The sequence below is a fragment of the Homo sapiens genome, chromosome 2, assembly GCF_000001405.40.
Source record: "Homo sapiens chromosome 2, GRCh38.p14 Primary Assembly".
In the NCBI taxonomy this organism is placed as follows: domain Eukaryota; kingdom Metazoa; phylum Chordata; class Mammalia; order Primates; family Hominidae; genus Homo; species Homo sapiens.
The window spans coordinates 199,842,742-199,855,949 of NC_000002.12; the positions used below are offsets into that span (position 1 = coordinate 199,842,742).

The 13,208-nt window shown below is 40.0% G+C and overlaps 1 protein-coding gene across 34 annotated transcripts in view, besides 3 other annotated features; it reads right to left on the bottom strand.

Annotated features, from left to right (window-relative positions):
- Positions 1–8,451, bottom strand: part of FTCDNL1 (formiminotransferase cyclodeaminase N-terminal like) — a 187,358-nt gene extending 178,907 nt beyond the window's left edge. For 14 of the 34 annotated variants that reach the window (XR_002959289.2, XM_024452865.2, XM_024452863.2 and 11 more), the window contains exons 1-3: positions 7,999–8,451; positions 6,107–6,228; positions 3,334–3,429 (exon numbers count right to left, since the gene is read on the bottom strand). Coding sequence is in view for 32 of the 34 variants with exons in the window: in XM_024452865.2 (XP_024308633.1) it covers positions 3,334–3,429; positions 6,107–6,221 (211 nt within the window). In the remaining 2 variants the exon portion in view is untranslated. Of the gene's footprint in view, positions 1–299; positions 1,792–3,333; positions 3,430–6,106; positions 6,229–7,998 lie in introns of those variants that run through there. The other 20 variants (XM_024452869.2, XM_047444164.1, XM_047444170.1 and 17 more) reach the window with 7 other exon arrangements.
- Positions 8,232–8,511: a silencer, noted in NCBI's record as "silent region_12221". NCBI's record gives its function as "represses an Ori minimal core promoter by ATAC-STARR-seq in GM12878 lymphoblastoid cells {active_cell/tissue: GM12878}" and the evidence as "EXISTENCE:reporter gene assay evidence [ECO:0000049][PMID:35858748]".
- Positions 8,232–8,917: a biological region, named in NCBI's record as "NANOG-H3K27ac hESC enhancer GRCh37_chr2:200715807-200716381".
- Positions 8,343–8,917: an enhancer, noted in NCBI's record as "NANOG-H3K27ac hESC enhancer chr2:200715807-200716381 (GRCh37/hg19 assembly coordinates)". NCBI's record gives its function as "activates a minimal SCP1, AML or CMV promoter by ChIP-STARR-seq in naive H9 embryonic stem cells {active_cell/tissue: H9 hESC(naive)}" and the evidence as "EXISTENCE:reporter gene assay evidence [ECO:0000049][PMID:30033119]".

A 13,208-nucleotide genomic window follows, 5' to 3' on the forward strand; every position in this document is an offset into this window, starting at 1 on the left:
AGTATCAACTCTTTTATGTCACTGGGATGCTATTTATTGCCCTTTGTCCAGAGAAAGTTAGCTGATTATTATGTTAAAGCTGGTTTCTCTGGGAAAGCCTTATTCTAGGGAAAAACATCCTTTCACTGTTCTAAGAACAGCGGGATCCTAGAATGCGAATACTTCTGCCTCATAAGAATGCCTGAGCATGCTGTTACAAAAAAAAAAAAAAAACTTAAAAAAAATTTGGATGATATTAGATGAACAGCTGTGTAGAAAAGGGGATGTAAAAATAAAAACTGCATGTTAGAGCATCAAAATAGTAACCATGTACAGTATAGGACTGTTTTTAATCAGATGAAGATTGAAGCTATTACATTTCAAATCAAATGTTATAAATTAGTTCAAGAATGCAGCTGAGCTCTCATTTAATTAGAAATGTCCATGTTTAAATCATGAGGTACAGTAGCTGCCAATGAAGCAAAGGGCAAGGGAAGGGAGAAATCCTGTGTCCAGACTCACTGATTCTCAACTGTCTCCTACACAGGATGAACATCTGGGGTGGACCAGTCCTGATGTAATGAAGAACTTCATGTACTAGCTAATTTGAGATTTAATGTAATTGTCCATAATTGTTTTGAAGACAATTAAAATCATTATTCTGGTCTGGACAATTCTGAACTCTTCATTTTTGTGTGGAACATATTTCCCCACCCCCCCATGCTGAATTTTAACTCTTTCTTGGATAAAACGTAAAGCAAGTCTGGAGCCAAGATTTCCCTTGGATAACCCTTCAACTGTCAGGTCACATAAAATGCAGCATAAGTAGTGAGGTACTCCTTTGGAAGCAAGTCTCATTTCCTATTTCTGGTGCTTAATGTAGCTCAGCTAAAGTCCAAATCTACATCCCAAATGTTAGACAATTCACCATTAATTAAAAATGAGGCAACATCATAGAGGGATTTCTGAGGTCATACAGAAAAGAATGCAATTATCCTAAGGCGGCTTTTTTTCCCCGAAGATTATAAGCCTCTGCATCTTGTAATTAACCGTGGTACAGTTAGACAGTCCAGGCAAAAGGTCTTTCTTTTCTCCCAATTTGCCTAATTCAAAAACACCTCAAGTGACATAGCTCAAATTTTTCCAAATTAACCTTACCCCTGGGGCTGAAATCATTCAAGTGGCAGTTCAGCTCTAAAGAAAATCTTAGAGTTGTGCACAGGGAAAAAAGGAAAAAAAAAAAGTCAAAGGAAAAAGGGGTAAGAGTTAACATTTAAGTGGATTTTCAACCTCATCATTACCCCTGCTCAAGAAAATAGGACACAGATAGATAGGCAAAACACACCATCATTCTGCCCTGAAGAGCCTAAAAGACTTACTAGAAACTGCTATTGTTTCCTCAAGATCTACTGTGAATTTGTGAGGGATAAAATTATTGATTTTTTTTTTTTTGCCATATCCCACAACATTTAGTGTTCCATAATGTCATGGGGTAGGAAGTGGAGGGGTGTGTCACAAACACACAGTGTATTGTTGATACAGTTCTTCAAGATCAACTTTTCCCGGGGGCTGAGGAGTGATTTGATTCTCACAAGCTATTTCAGTTTGTAAAAATGGTTTCCAGTAAGAAAGAACACATAACCCCAAACTTTCTCTTACTTCTGGCCACCACTCCACACTATTCCACTGTGACACCAGAGAGAGGGTAAATCGGAATCAAGTCCACTGCTCCCAGGCAAGGGTGGATTCCCTCTTGAACTTCCATATCGATAGCCTGGAAGGCCTCTAGGCAGGCAGCCAGAACAGAACTGCCTAAAAATGCAAAATTGTGAAAAACAATCATTCAGCTTTCAACTGCATCTAAAGAAAAAGCTATGATTTTGTTGGTCCCCTAGTTGTTTTTCTTCTGTAATCTGTGTAGAAGATTTTTTGTCCAAAATAATGAAAAATACAAAATCTAACCTTTCCCCTCACCCCACCTCCCAATAGTCATAAAACTTGACATTTCTTCCAGCTTTTTCCTCCCCAAAGTGGGAGAATTATACAAGATTTATTGGTCTTATACTATTTGATTTTTTTTTACAATTGTTTACTTTAAATTTTTTCAATTGTCTCCAATTAATTTAATCAAATTCCTTATTTTCAGAATGCCTTATGAGTAATTATATTAAAATAGATACACAAACATAATTTTTTTTTATTTTTTATTTTTTAGAGACTGAGTCTTGCTATGTTGCCCAGGCTGGTCTCAAACTCCTGGCATCAGGCAATCCTCCCACCTTGGCCGCCCAAAGTGCTGAAACTATAGGCATGAGCCACTGTGCCCAAACACGTAAATTTTTTTTTTGCATAAATTTTTTAAAGCTTACTTATTTTAGTTTTGCTCTTATCCACTAATTATATTTTTCATTGAATTATTATAGCTAAATGCATATTATAGACACCTAAGAGTTTTGTGATATTACTCTGAGTTTTCATTAGTAATACAGTATGACCATTTTAGCAATAGAGGAAAAAGCAGATTTTTATCCTGTATTAAGACAACATTCAAGATAATCTGTCCAGGCCGGGCTCAGTGGCTCAATCCTATAATCCCAGCACTTTGGGAGGCTGAGGCAGGCAAATCACTTGAGGTCAGGAGTTTGAGACCAGCCTGGCCAACACGGCAAATCCCCATCTCTACTGAAAACAATATAAAAAGTTAGCCAGGTATGGTGGTGTGTGCCTGTAATTCCAGCTACAAAGGAGGCTGAAGCATGGGAATTGCTTGAACCCCGGAGGCAGAGGTTGCAGTGAGTCGAGATCGGGCCACTGCACTCCAGTCTGGGTGATGGAGTGAGACTCTTATCTCGAAAAAAAAAAGATAATCTGTCCTATGCTTGCTGAAGTTATCTGTAAGCTCTCTACTAAACCTTACAATGTCCCTATAAGACATGTCAACTCATGGCCCAACTCCAGATCTCAAGCTCCCAACCCAGAATGCACTGCTTAGCATGTTTCATTCTATGCCAGCTTAGCAGTGAAATGAAAGCTGACTTCAACACTATTACTTCACAGGCTAAAACCTGAAGATGTCTTTTCTTAACCCCAAAGGATATGTGATCACCTTCAGCAAAAAAAAAAAAAAAAAGTTATGAAATCTTGGACCCCAAGGTTCACTGTAACAAAGAGGAAATGGAGACTCTTTGAGATTTACATGTTCAGAAAAATGATTAAGTGTAGCTTTGTGGTAGACTCTTTACTTAATAGAGGGGAGTATTCATATTTACAGAGGAAATCAATGATTAGAGAATGTTCAGGTCTACCTGAACCAAAAAAAAGACATATATGTAAAGAAAGAAACTGAAATCTTACCCAACTTATCAACAGAAGTTGCTATTGTAATGACTGATCTCTTGTAGTCTTGATCGGAAAATATATTGAGCACTGAAACTTGAGGATGTTTCTTTCCTGTAAAAAAAACAAGACAGAAGTGCAAGAATTTTTTTTCTGTGATAAAACCTTAATAGTTAATTTCTTCTGGTATATTTAAATTTAGCTTAGTGGAAAAATTCTGGGATGTGACTTTTGGAAGTGACATTGAATAAACATGAAATTCATGAGAGGCAATGTCCACTTTTCTTACAGCATCTTATTGTATAACCAGATGGCTCAGCTCAGACACAAGCTTTTGATGTCTATAAGAGACACTCTTTTGGACTTGCTACTGAATTTGCCAAAATTCCCTTAACTCAGTCTAAGATGGTAGCTCCTTTCTTCAATAGCCAAATCATATGGCTCTAAATCCTGTTCCTTATCAATCTCATCACCTAGGCCTTGTCAATATTTCCTTCCAAAATCCAGAAACTAAACTGTTTGGGTCAAGATCTGACATCTGGTAAAACTAGAATAGACCAATTAGTGCCCAGAGCAGAGGTTTTTGAGACGCATGCACCTGTCCATTAGAAACTGTTCTGAGTCCACCATCTCCTTTTCGGAGGCCACCAACAGCCTTCAGATGTTAACAACTTCCAGCTTTTGGTGGTTTGTGACTCTCTTGAATATGTGTAACCTGGAGGAGAAAGCTGACATTCCCTTGTGTGGCAGCCATACATAACCCTAGAGTTATTTTTGAAGTTTACAAGCATGGTCCAGGCTTCTTAAAAGTCCCCCTTAAGCCTACAAAAGCAAATTCAAAGTGAAGGACAAAAGTTTTCAGGCGGTAATTAAACCTTTGGTTATGCTATTATACCTTGTCTCCTTGTCCCCTGGCAGCTTAACAATTAATCTTTTCAGAGGAAAGGAAAAACAAGTTACACCCAGGAACTACAGAGCTTAGAACAGCCCTACACTATTAATTTTAATAATGTGAGAAGATAAACATATGTCACTCACTCATGGCCAAACGAGCATCTGTAGAGTCCTGCCCTGGTGTAGGTCTAAAATTTATTACTCAGATTCCTTTACCTAAGACCTTTCTAGGCCATTTAAATGTGCTCACATTGCTTAATTAGAAAAAAAAAATACAGTTTATATGGTTTTATTCCACTCACTTAAAAATAAATGCCTTTAAAATATTTGTAAAAAAAAAAGGTTCATTTTCTTAACTAGTGCTACCTTCCTTGCATTTTGAAAACTACAAAAGATGAAGTAAGAAGAAGATCATGCAACTTCCTATTTTATATAGTTTTTCAACATACTCTAACTCCTGGAAGAAACGAGATATGATGTAATTTTTTTCATCCTAAATCTTCTCCTGAAAAGCTTTTATTCTCAGTTTCATATGATTCAATTGAATCAAATGCTGAAAGAATAAAACACTCTCCTGCAATTTCTTAAGCATGCATATAGAAAAGAAATTACTGCTGGCAAGAGGAGCTGTCAGTGTGAATCTCAGCAGAAGTAAATTGTTTGGTATTTGTAATGGAGTATAATAGCTATAATTCCATTTGAGCTGCTGCCACTAATAAGCTGATAAAAACTGTGAGTTGAGACCCAGGCATCCATCAGTGTGTGTCTTCCACAAATGTCTCTGCACATTCACTTAATCACAGAGACAGGCAACCCAATCCCATTAGATGTACTGTTTCTGACAATGAAGAGCCCGAGCTGGCTCTTTCCACAAAAAGCATGCAAAATCACAGCTGCATACCAACTCCAAAGAAGTTTTCTTATCAGCAATTATCAGGAATTTTCATAGACATTTCTAGCTCCTGCAAAGTTGCAAGACAGTAACTTAAATGTGCTCACAGTTAAGATGGGTTGGGGGAAAACACTTCTTTCTTATGAAAAGCAGTAACCACATTAAAAATGACAATCGGAAATTAAAATTTACTGTCTGAAATGCTTTAGGGTTGGTTTCACCTGTTGCCAAAAAGTTATTGATTTAATAACAGCATTCTATTTAAATGATTGTATACACTGTTGTGTGTATTAGTGTGTGTGTCAAAGTAAAGACAAATAATACCTAACCATGTGTCACCACAGGAACATTTTAAAAAATGAAATGTTTTTTAAAGAGCAGTATCTTTCATAGTAATACTGGCCGAGGGAATAAGGAGGCATGAGTTCCAGTCTTCTGTCACCAAATTGCTGAGTGATCTTAAGCGCATCATTTAAATGCACTTGCCTAACAGTGTCTATACAGAGAAAAGAGGGTAGAAATAATAATACTGTAATGATTGCATGGGCTTTGCTGGCAGGAGTGCTGGGAAAAGTAGTTGGTATTTGGCAAGTTTATTTTTCATTTAATCTGCTCAATAAAAAGCATAAGGTACGATTATGCTCATTCTATTAATGATCAAATAAACGACCCATGAGGGAAACATTATACTTTTATGTAAATACATCCTCCCCAGGAGCCTGTCAATATCCTGAACAACACGCATCTCAGAGATTCACACGCAAATGTTAAGAGCTGCGCTGCTGAGCGTATGCAGACATTTGGAAAAGAGCATATGTGCACATCTGAGTAACTGAGCTATCTCAGTATCCTGGAGTTGCGCAGAGCTGCAACAGCTCAAGAGCAAGGAGGAAAATTCAGGAAGAAAGAAAGAAAAGTGTTCTGTAGATACAGTGTGCACAGTACAAAAATTACTAAATTATCAAAACACTATAATATTCAGCTTCAATTGTCTGTTTTTCCTACCATTTTTGTCAAGAAGAGCTGCTTTTGCTATGTTCTCAACAATGTATTTTCTTCCGGCTTCTGAAACGTTTAGTAAACAGGCAGCCAAACGGAGCCCCACTCTGGAAGAAGACATGATTTTTCTGGAATAGGAGAAAAATTTTTATGTGTCTCTAGAGTTGATTCATATTTTCATGTTTTAACTATAAAAAAATCATAACTTTTTGGAAACGAAGCAGTCATAATATGAGCACTTTACTATTTCATTCCTAGAAAAATTCTAAAGCATAAAATCTCCAGATTGACTAAAATAAGAAACCATGTGTACATGGTCACATACATATAAACCTTGTAACGACACTGGAAAATACCTGGCAGGGTCCTCAGCGTGAATTTCATCATGTAAGTGAAAGTTTTTCATTAAAGTATGTTATCCCATTTTAAGCATAGTTTTCCTTAGCCTTATCCCTGTTTTCAAGGTCTGTACTATTTTACAAACAGGTATGTTTTTTTTGTTGTTAAACTAGACTTAGTGGGGAAATGCAGAAAAAGAAAATGAGGAAGATTATTTAATATGTGGATTCTTATAAAAGAAATTCTTGCAGCAAAAATGAAAGTGTCTACAGGCCATGCCATGGACATTATACAAATAAATAAGGAAGCCATTTGGATGGTTTACATGACAATTGTCTAAGTTCCTCCTTGTTCCACCAAAGTTTCTAAATCAGTTTAAAGTCTTTTTACAAAATTCTGTAACTTGAAAGATGATACATATTCTGATACATATTATTCAATAATATCAAAAATGTGATTTTTGTTGAAAATTAATTATACAGGTTTTGGAGGTTGCTTTGATACTTTTTAGTACTCTAGAATAGCATTTTTGACACATCTTTCCATACTTCAAATGATATTCATGATCTAAAGGAATTAAAACATCTTAAAATAATAAGAAAATAATTTCCCTCTTCAAGTTCAGGACCTCATAACTTTGGTCTCTTTTAAATACCATAACTAAAAATAGATGAGGCCCTCATGAATTCATTCAACAAATATTTAATGAGGGTCTTTTTCTGACAGGTAATGTTCCCTGTGTGAGGGATACCAACCACTGTTCCCTGTGTGAGGGATACCAACCACAGTGGTCTAACTCTGAGACACGCGTTAAACTTTAGAGTTTAAGCTAAAAGTGCTCTGGTGCAAATAATGGTGCTCTCCCTCAATAAATCCACTGGCTTGTTCGCCAGGATCATTCGTTGGCCTAATCATCTTAACCTAGAGAGAGCTCAGGCTTCGTAGCTAGCTCAGGTTTGCAGGCAGGTTTTCATATCATGTCCATCATCTCATCACTGAAAATTCATAAAAATTCTGTCATTAGGTTTTTCTAGATATTAATAACATTGTTGTAATAAAGCAACCCAGACCTCTCGTTTCTATGTAAACAAAAAATTGCTTTACACAAGGGGTGTGGGCGTCTTCTGGTTTTCATTTGTTTTCAGTGTGTTTATGCAGCTTAATTGTCTCATCAGGCACTTTCCCAACATAATTATGCTTTTTAACAAATGGTGTTTATGGCAACCCCTAACAGTGCAAAAGAAAGGATTAGTTTCATCCTCTCATTCCACATTTTGATTCCCTGTGGACAGCTAAATCACACAAAGATGGTGTTAGAAAAATTCACCTTCACAGCGAAGCTGAAATGAGCGGCAGTACCAGGCTCAGAAAGTGACCCAAACGCAAGCCCCCCAAAACACTCTGTGTTTGGGACAGGGAGATCCTAGTCCTCCCAGCTCATCCTTCAATTACCATTGGATGACCTCTGGTGATAGATTAAACACTCGGCCGTCCCCCGCCCCCGCGCCTCCCCACCCGCGGAGAACCTAGCCTAGCAAGTGCAAAGTGCAGCAGTTCACCTGCCCCCTGCGCACGCACCCCACCGGCACTTGGAGGCCGCAAGGACGCTCGCCAGGCTGCCGCAACGCGTGCTGGGGCCAGAACCCCGCTGCTGGGATTCCCTGCGCGGTGCCGACTAGGTTCCTGGGTGGAGTGTCCCAGGACCACGTGGGCTGAAAGGGAACCCGAAGTGACTCCCGGCCTCCCCACAGGTCTCGCGGGACGCAGCAGCGGCGAGGGCGCGGGGTTGTGGCGCCTGGGAGCGAGGGGCAGCCGGCGGCTGCGCTGCCCCGGCCGAGCTCTCGAACCAGCGGCCGCGCCTGCCGCTCTGCGGTTTGGGAGGGGAGCGGACCTGCGAGCGCCGAAGGGCGGTGGGGCAGGGCGACCGCCCAGCCCAAGTCGCCGCCGCGCGTGGCCCGCGCGCAGCCTCCGCCGCCGCGCGTGGCCCGCGCGCAGCGTCTGCCGCCGGCTCCGCCTCCCGGACGCCCGGAGCGCGCCCCACCCCAGCCGCACACCGACCGGGCTGGCTCTGCCTCTCCCTCCCTGACCCGGCACCACGTGCCTGGCGTCCTTGAACGCTTCAGATTTTTATCAGTGTTGCCTTTTCGTTTGCTCTTCCGTATCGCCAGACCCTCCACAATTCTCTAGTCAATTAATGACTTTAAAGGGGCATTGGCATCTAATGATCAGGTCTTTGCCTATTGATCATGCACCAGCAGGGGGCTCTTCTCTCGTTTCCTTGGAAGGGACACACGCACTCACACACACCCTTCTGGTAAATCCCCTCCTGGAGGATTAGTGCCCCCCGTGACTGTGAACTGGACCCACCCCGGGACAAAAGCAGTCCTTGCGCATACCCATTTAGTCAAAGTTACAACGAATATGAATCAGGCTTCCGCATTTCCTTTTTTTCTAGGCCACTCAACCTTGAAAACACATTTCGCTTCCAAAAAATCAGGACCTGCTTTTTTTTTTTTCGTGTAGCAAGGATTAAATGTCACCATTTTGATCCAATTTTGTTCCTGTAGTGAAATAATCACTAAATAACTACTTTGACGGAATAAATTAATTTTTAAATCTATTTTTTATTTTCTAATTATAATTTTTAAACACAGATTTGAGGAAATTAACATTTATGTGGACATTTGGTTTCTAGCCTAATGTGGCATAAAAATAAGTAACATAATGAGTGTTAAAAAAAATCAGGTTCATGATGCTTCTCACATCATCATCATTGTACTTAGATGTCACAACAGTATTATGTGCGATTATGTCAGATCCAGCCTTCTCCATCTCGGAGTGTTGGCAGGTAGGAGGGTTGTTGGCAAGAGGAGGGGTGTTAACCTCAGGATCCTGGATCCATTCCAAGGCTGGTAATTACATTCTGCCAGCCAAAATTCATCCCATAATTTTAATTGGATAAATCCTTTCTGGCCTAAGCTACTGCTATGCCTGTCAAACTGTTGCCACATTTCACCCCAGAGGTGTCTGTGTTTTAGTTGCAAGAATCAGTCCCTTTGAGGTTGGCTTATCTGTTTAAATCCTCAAAATGCACTGGGATCCTATGGAATTAAATATATATTTAGGTATTTTTTTCTACTAAATCTGCATAGAAGTGCATAAAGTAGATACATACCCATGTTATTACCTAAAGACCAATACCTATCTAATGTCAGCATTCACTAGATAATTTTGAGAGCTTTTTAATCAGACCAATATTCCTAACTTTCTTCATCTTCTCTTTTGAGAGCTTTTTTGGCCTCTAGCTTTAGCTTCCGTTTTCCAAAAAAAGTAATGTGGTGTCCAAATGTTCCTTCCATGGTAGGGCAAAGAACCAGAATCCCCTGTATTTCACCTTTCCAAACAATCGGATAATGATACTACTTGCCAAATGAGACAGCGTAATAACATTACATCTAATCTTATAATATTTCTCCAGAGAAAACAGTGTGACACCTGGGGGCTTCATGGTTCTAGCTGTAGAAACTGCCAGAAGGAAAGCTTTTCCCCCCACAGCTCCTAATCCTCTCTTTCTCCCGAGAGACTGTTCCTTACGGAGCTACAGGCTATGGGGGCATTAAGTAAGATAACATTTCTGAAAGCATCCCTTTCTCCACTCTACTCACTTCAAACCCAAATGGAGAGAAAGCAGGGCCCCAGTGTTCTTTGTGGGGGGCAGCATCCGGCCCCTGCCTGAGGAGGGTAAGCATGTATTTTTGGAAAATACAAGGAGACACATACCAACCTGTCCCATGAGAAGTTTAGCGATACGATTGAAAGTATTATTTTGTTCTCTTCAAGAATGGAAAGTTACCATCGGTTACTTTAGGTGTACCGCATGTACTCCTGCCCATTTCACTACATAAAAGAGCTTTATGTCACATTTCTGTGTGCATCTTAAGTCTCTCATTTTTATTTAACTTAGCATTCTTTGGAGGGAGTCTTCCTACTTTTTGAATTAATGTATTATTCTGACTCCTTGATTCTTCTGCTAAATTCACCTTGTGGGCATTAGTTCTTTTGCTCATTATGGTTCCTGTCCAGAAAGATATAAGCCCTGGAATAGAGCAACTGAAACTCCCATGGGTCAGTTCTATCTACGACAACTGCTGTTCTGTAACACTCCCATTGGCTTCCTGTTAGACAAAGAGGACACTTTTCTTTACCCTTTGTTTTCGTTTTTGCAAGCAGGGAGAACTTAGTTCTTGTAGGAGACTTTCCTGACCCAACTGAGCTGAAGAGGGTAAAAGGGAGAGGCTGTGCTCACTGTGGCCTCACAGATCTACCTGAGCCCACAGCCCAGGTGTTGGTTGAGCAGGGCCAGGATGAAGGTAAGGTCAGTGAGGCGTTCACCCTGGGCACAAAATGTAAGTAGGTGCCAAAAAACTCAGGGATGCGACATTTTTTAAAATAAAAATTAATGCAGAAAAGAAATGTGGTGAACAAAATATCAAAATCTTAAGTAAAGACAGGATCCGACCCTGCACTTGCCTCTCAACTCAGCCTCACTGACCTCACCCTGATCCTGGCCCTGGGATTGTCCGCTTGTGCCAACCTGTTTCTGATTGTAGGCCTGAGAGGAAACTGTGCCACTCCGCCCTGCCTGCATCCTTTCTTCTGCCCCACAAAATGGGCAACAAAACCAACAATGTCAAGGATAGAAATTTCCAGGCCAGTGGAGACATATAATTCATACTCTGTTCAAGAGTTTCTAGACCTCCATAGATAGGAGACAGCCAATTTATTTCAAAAGAAGGCAAGCCAGGCGCAGTGGCTCACACCTGTAATCCCAGCACTTTAAGGAGGCCAAGGCAGGCAGATCACTTGAGGTCAGGAGTTTGAGCCCAGCCTGGCCACCATGGTGAAACCCTGTCTCTACTAAAAATACAAAACTTGGCCAGGTATGGTGCTGCATGCCTGTGATCCCAGCTACTCAGGAGGCTGAAGCATGAGAATCACTTGAACCTGGGAGGTGGAGGTTGCAGTGAGCCAAGATTGTGCCACTGCCCTCCAGCCTGGGTGACAGAGCAAGACTCTGTCTCAAAAAAAAAAAGAGCTGGGCGCAGTGGCTCACGCCTGTAATCCCAGCACTTTGGGAGGCCGAGGTGAGCAGATCACAAGGTCAGGAGATCGAGACCATCCTGGCTAACACAGTGAAACCCTGTCTCTACTAAATATACAAAAAATTAGCCAGGCATGGTGGCGGGCGCCTGTAGTCCCAGCTACTCAGGAGGCTGAGGCAGGAGAATGGCGTGAACCCAGGAGGTGGAGCTTTGCAGTGAGCCAAGATTACACCACTGTACTCCAGCCTGGGCAACAGAGCGAGACTCCATCTCAAAAAAAAAAGAAAAGAAAAGAAAAAGAAAAAGAAGGCAAAACCTTCTTGGAACTAGGAAAAGAATCAACTTTACGTACCTGATACATTTCAGAGTATGAAAATTAGGTTTCCTATTGTGCAGCAGAATTTTGAAATGTTTTTAAAGAACCTCCTAATTAATACTATCTATATTATGGGTTGTTTTTTTTTGGTGTAGCATTTGTTTGTGTTCAGGAAAACATGAATAGAGAATTATCCTTAGAAAGACAGAAGTCTAATTCTTATTGCAACTTGTTTCACTTTAATCACATTTTTGCACTACGTCAGACTTCATTCTATCTTCTTCCCTCATGGAACGTGAAAAGATTTTATTTCTCCTTGCATATAAATGTGGTCTGATAAATGAGGGATTTTTTAAAGTGATCTTAGTTGTCACTATAGGACAGTGAAGTGTTTTTAATTACCTGTGAATTTTAAATTGTTTTATCATGTGATATTATGAAATATGTGTTCTACTAGTCATTTTTCTAAAATAGCAAATAGGTTTCACTGCTGCCATTATTAGTTTGGAGTGACAGAAGCTGTGCTATTAATTTAAGCGAAGAAAAGGAGGTTGATGTCCAGAAAAAAGTGACAGCAACTAACAGAAACACCTCCATTCCCCACACACCTGTGTATTAATTACATAAAATGATCACTAGCCATTTTTGTCTGGATGAAGGAAGGGTGTGGGGAACCATAGAATTTTGAAAATTAACAATTTATTTTTCACCTTAATATTTTTGAAATCACTTTCTCTTTACACAATATGGATTGGGTTCTTTCTCTTTAGTCTGCCAATGTCTCTTTCAAGAAAGACCAGTAGGCTAAAATGTAAGCATAGTTATTAGCTTAAAATGGAATCACTTGCTATGCATTCACAGCTGGAGTATCTCATGTAACTAGCCAAAAGTTAAAAGTCTATGATCCACCTGCCCCTTAATTCATTCTTTGCCTTTTTATACCTTCCATGTAGTCATTCAGTTGTGCTTTCCTTTATTAAGGAACCTGGGCATAATGCAGATGAAATGAAGTGTTTTCTAGAGCCTCTCTCCAAAGCTGCTTCTTCATAACTCTTAGTTATATTGCAGATGAAAAACAATTCCTAAAACAGACTTTGAATTTCTGCTGAAAATTTGTTTTAACTTTTGGGACAACATTAAGGTTATTTCCAAAGCTACTAAAATTCACAAAATGTATCATTACATTCAAAAAATGCTGGGAATGCTTAGACACATTTTCCCCTAAGTAACGTGAATTTTTGTTGTTTTATGAGGTTTTTATCAATAAATATTTACTTAAAAATGCCAACCAGTGAACGGTAACTGCCAACATCTTGTGTCAGTCCAGCAATGGCCAGTCATGCTCTCCACA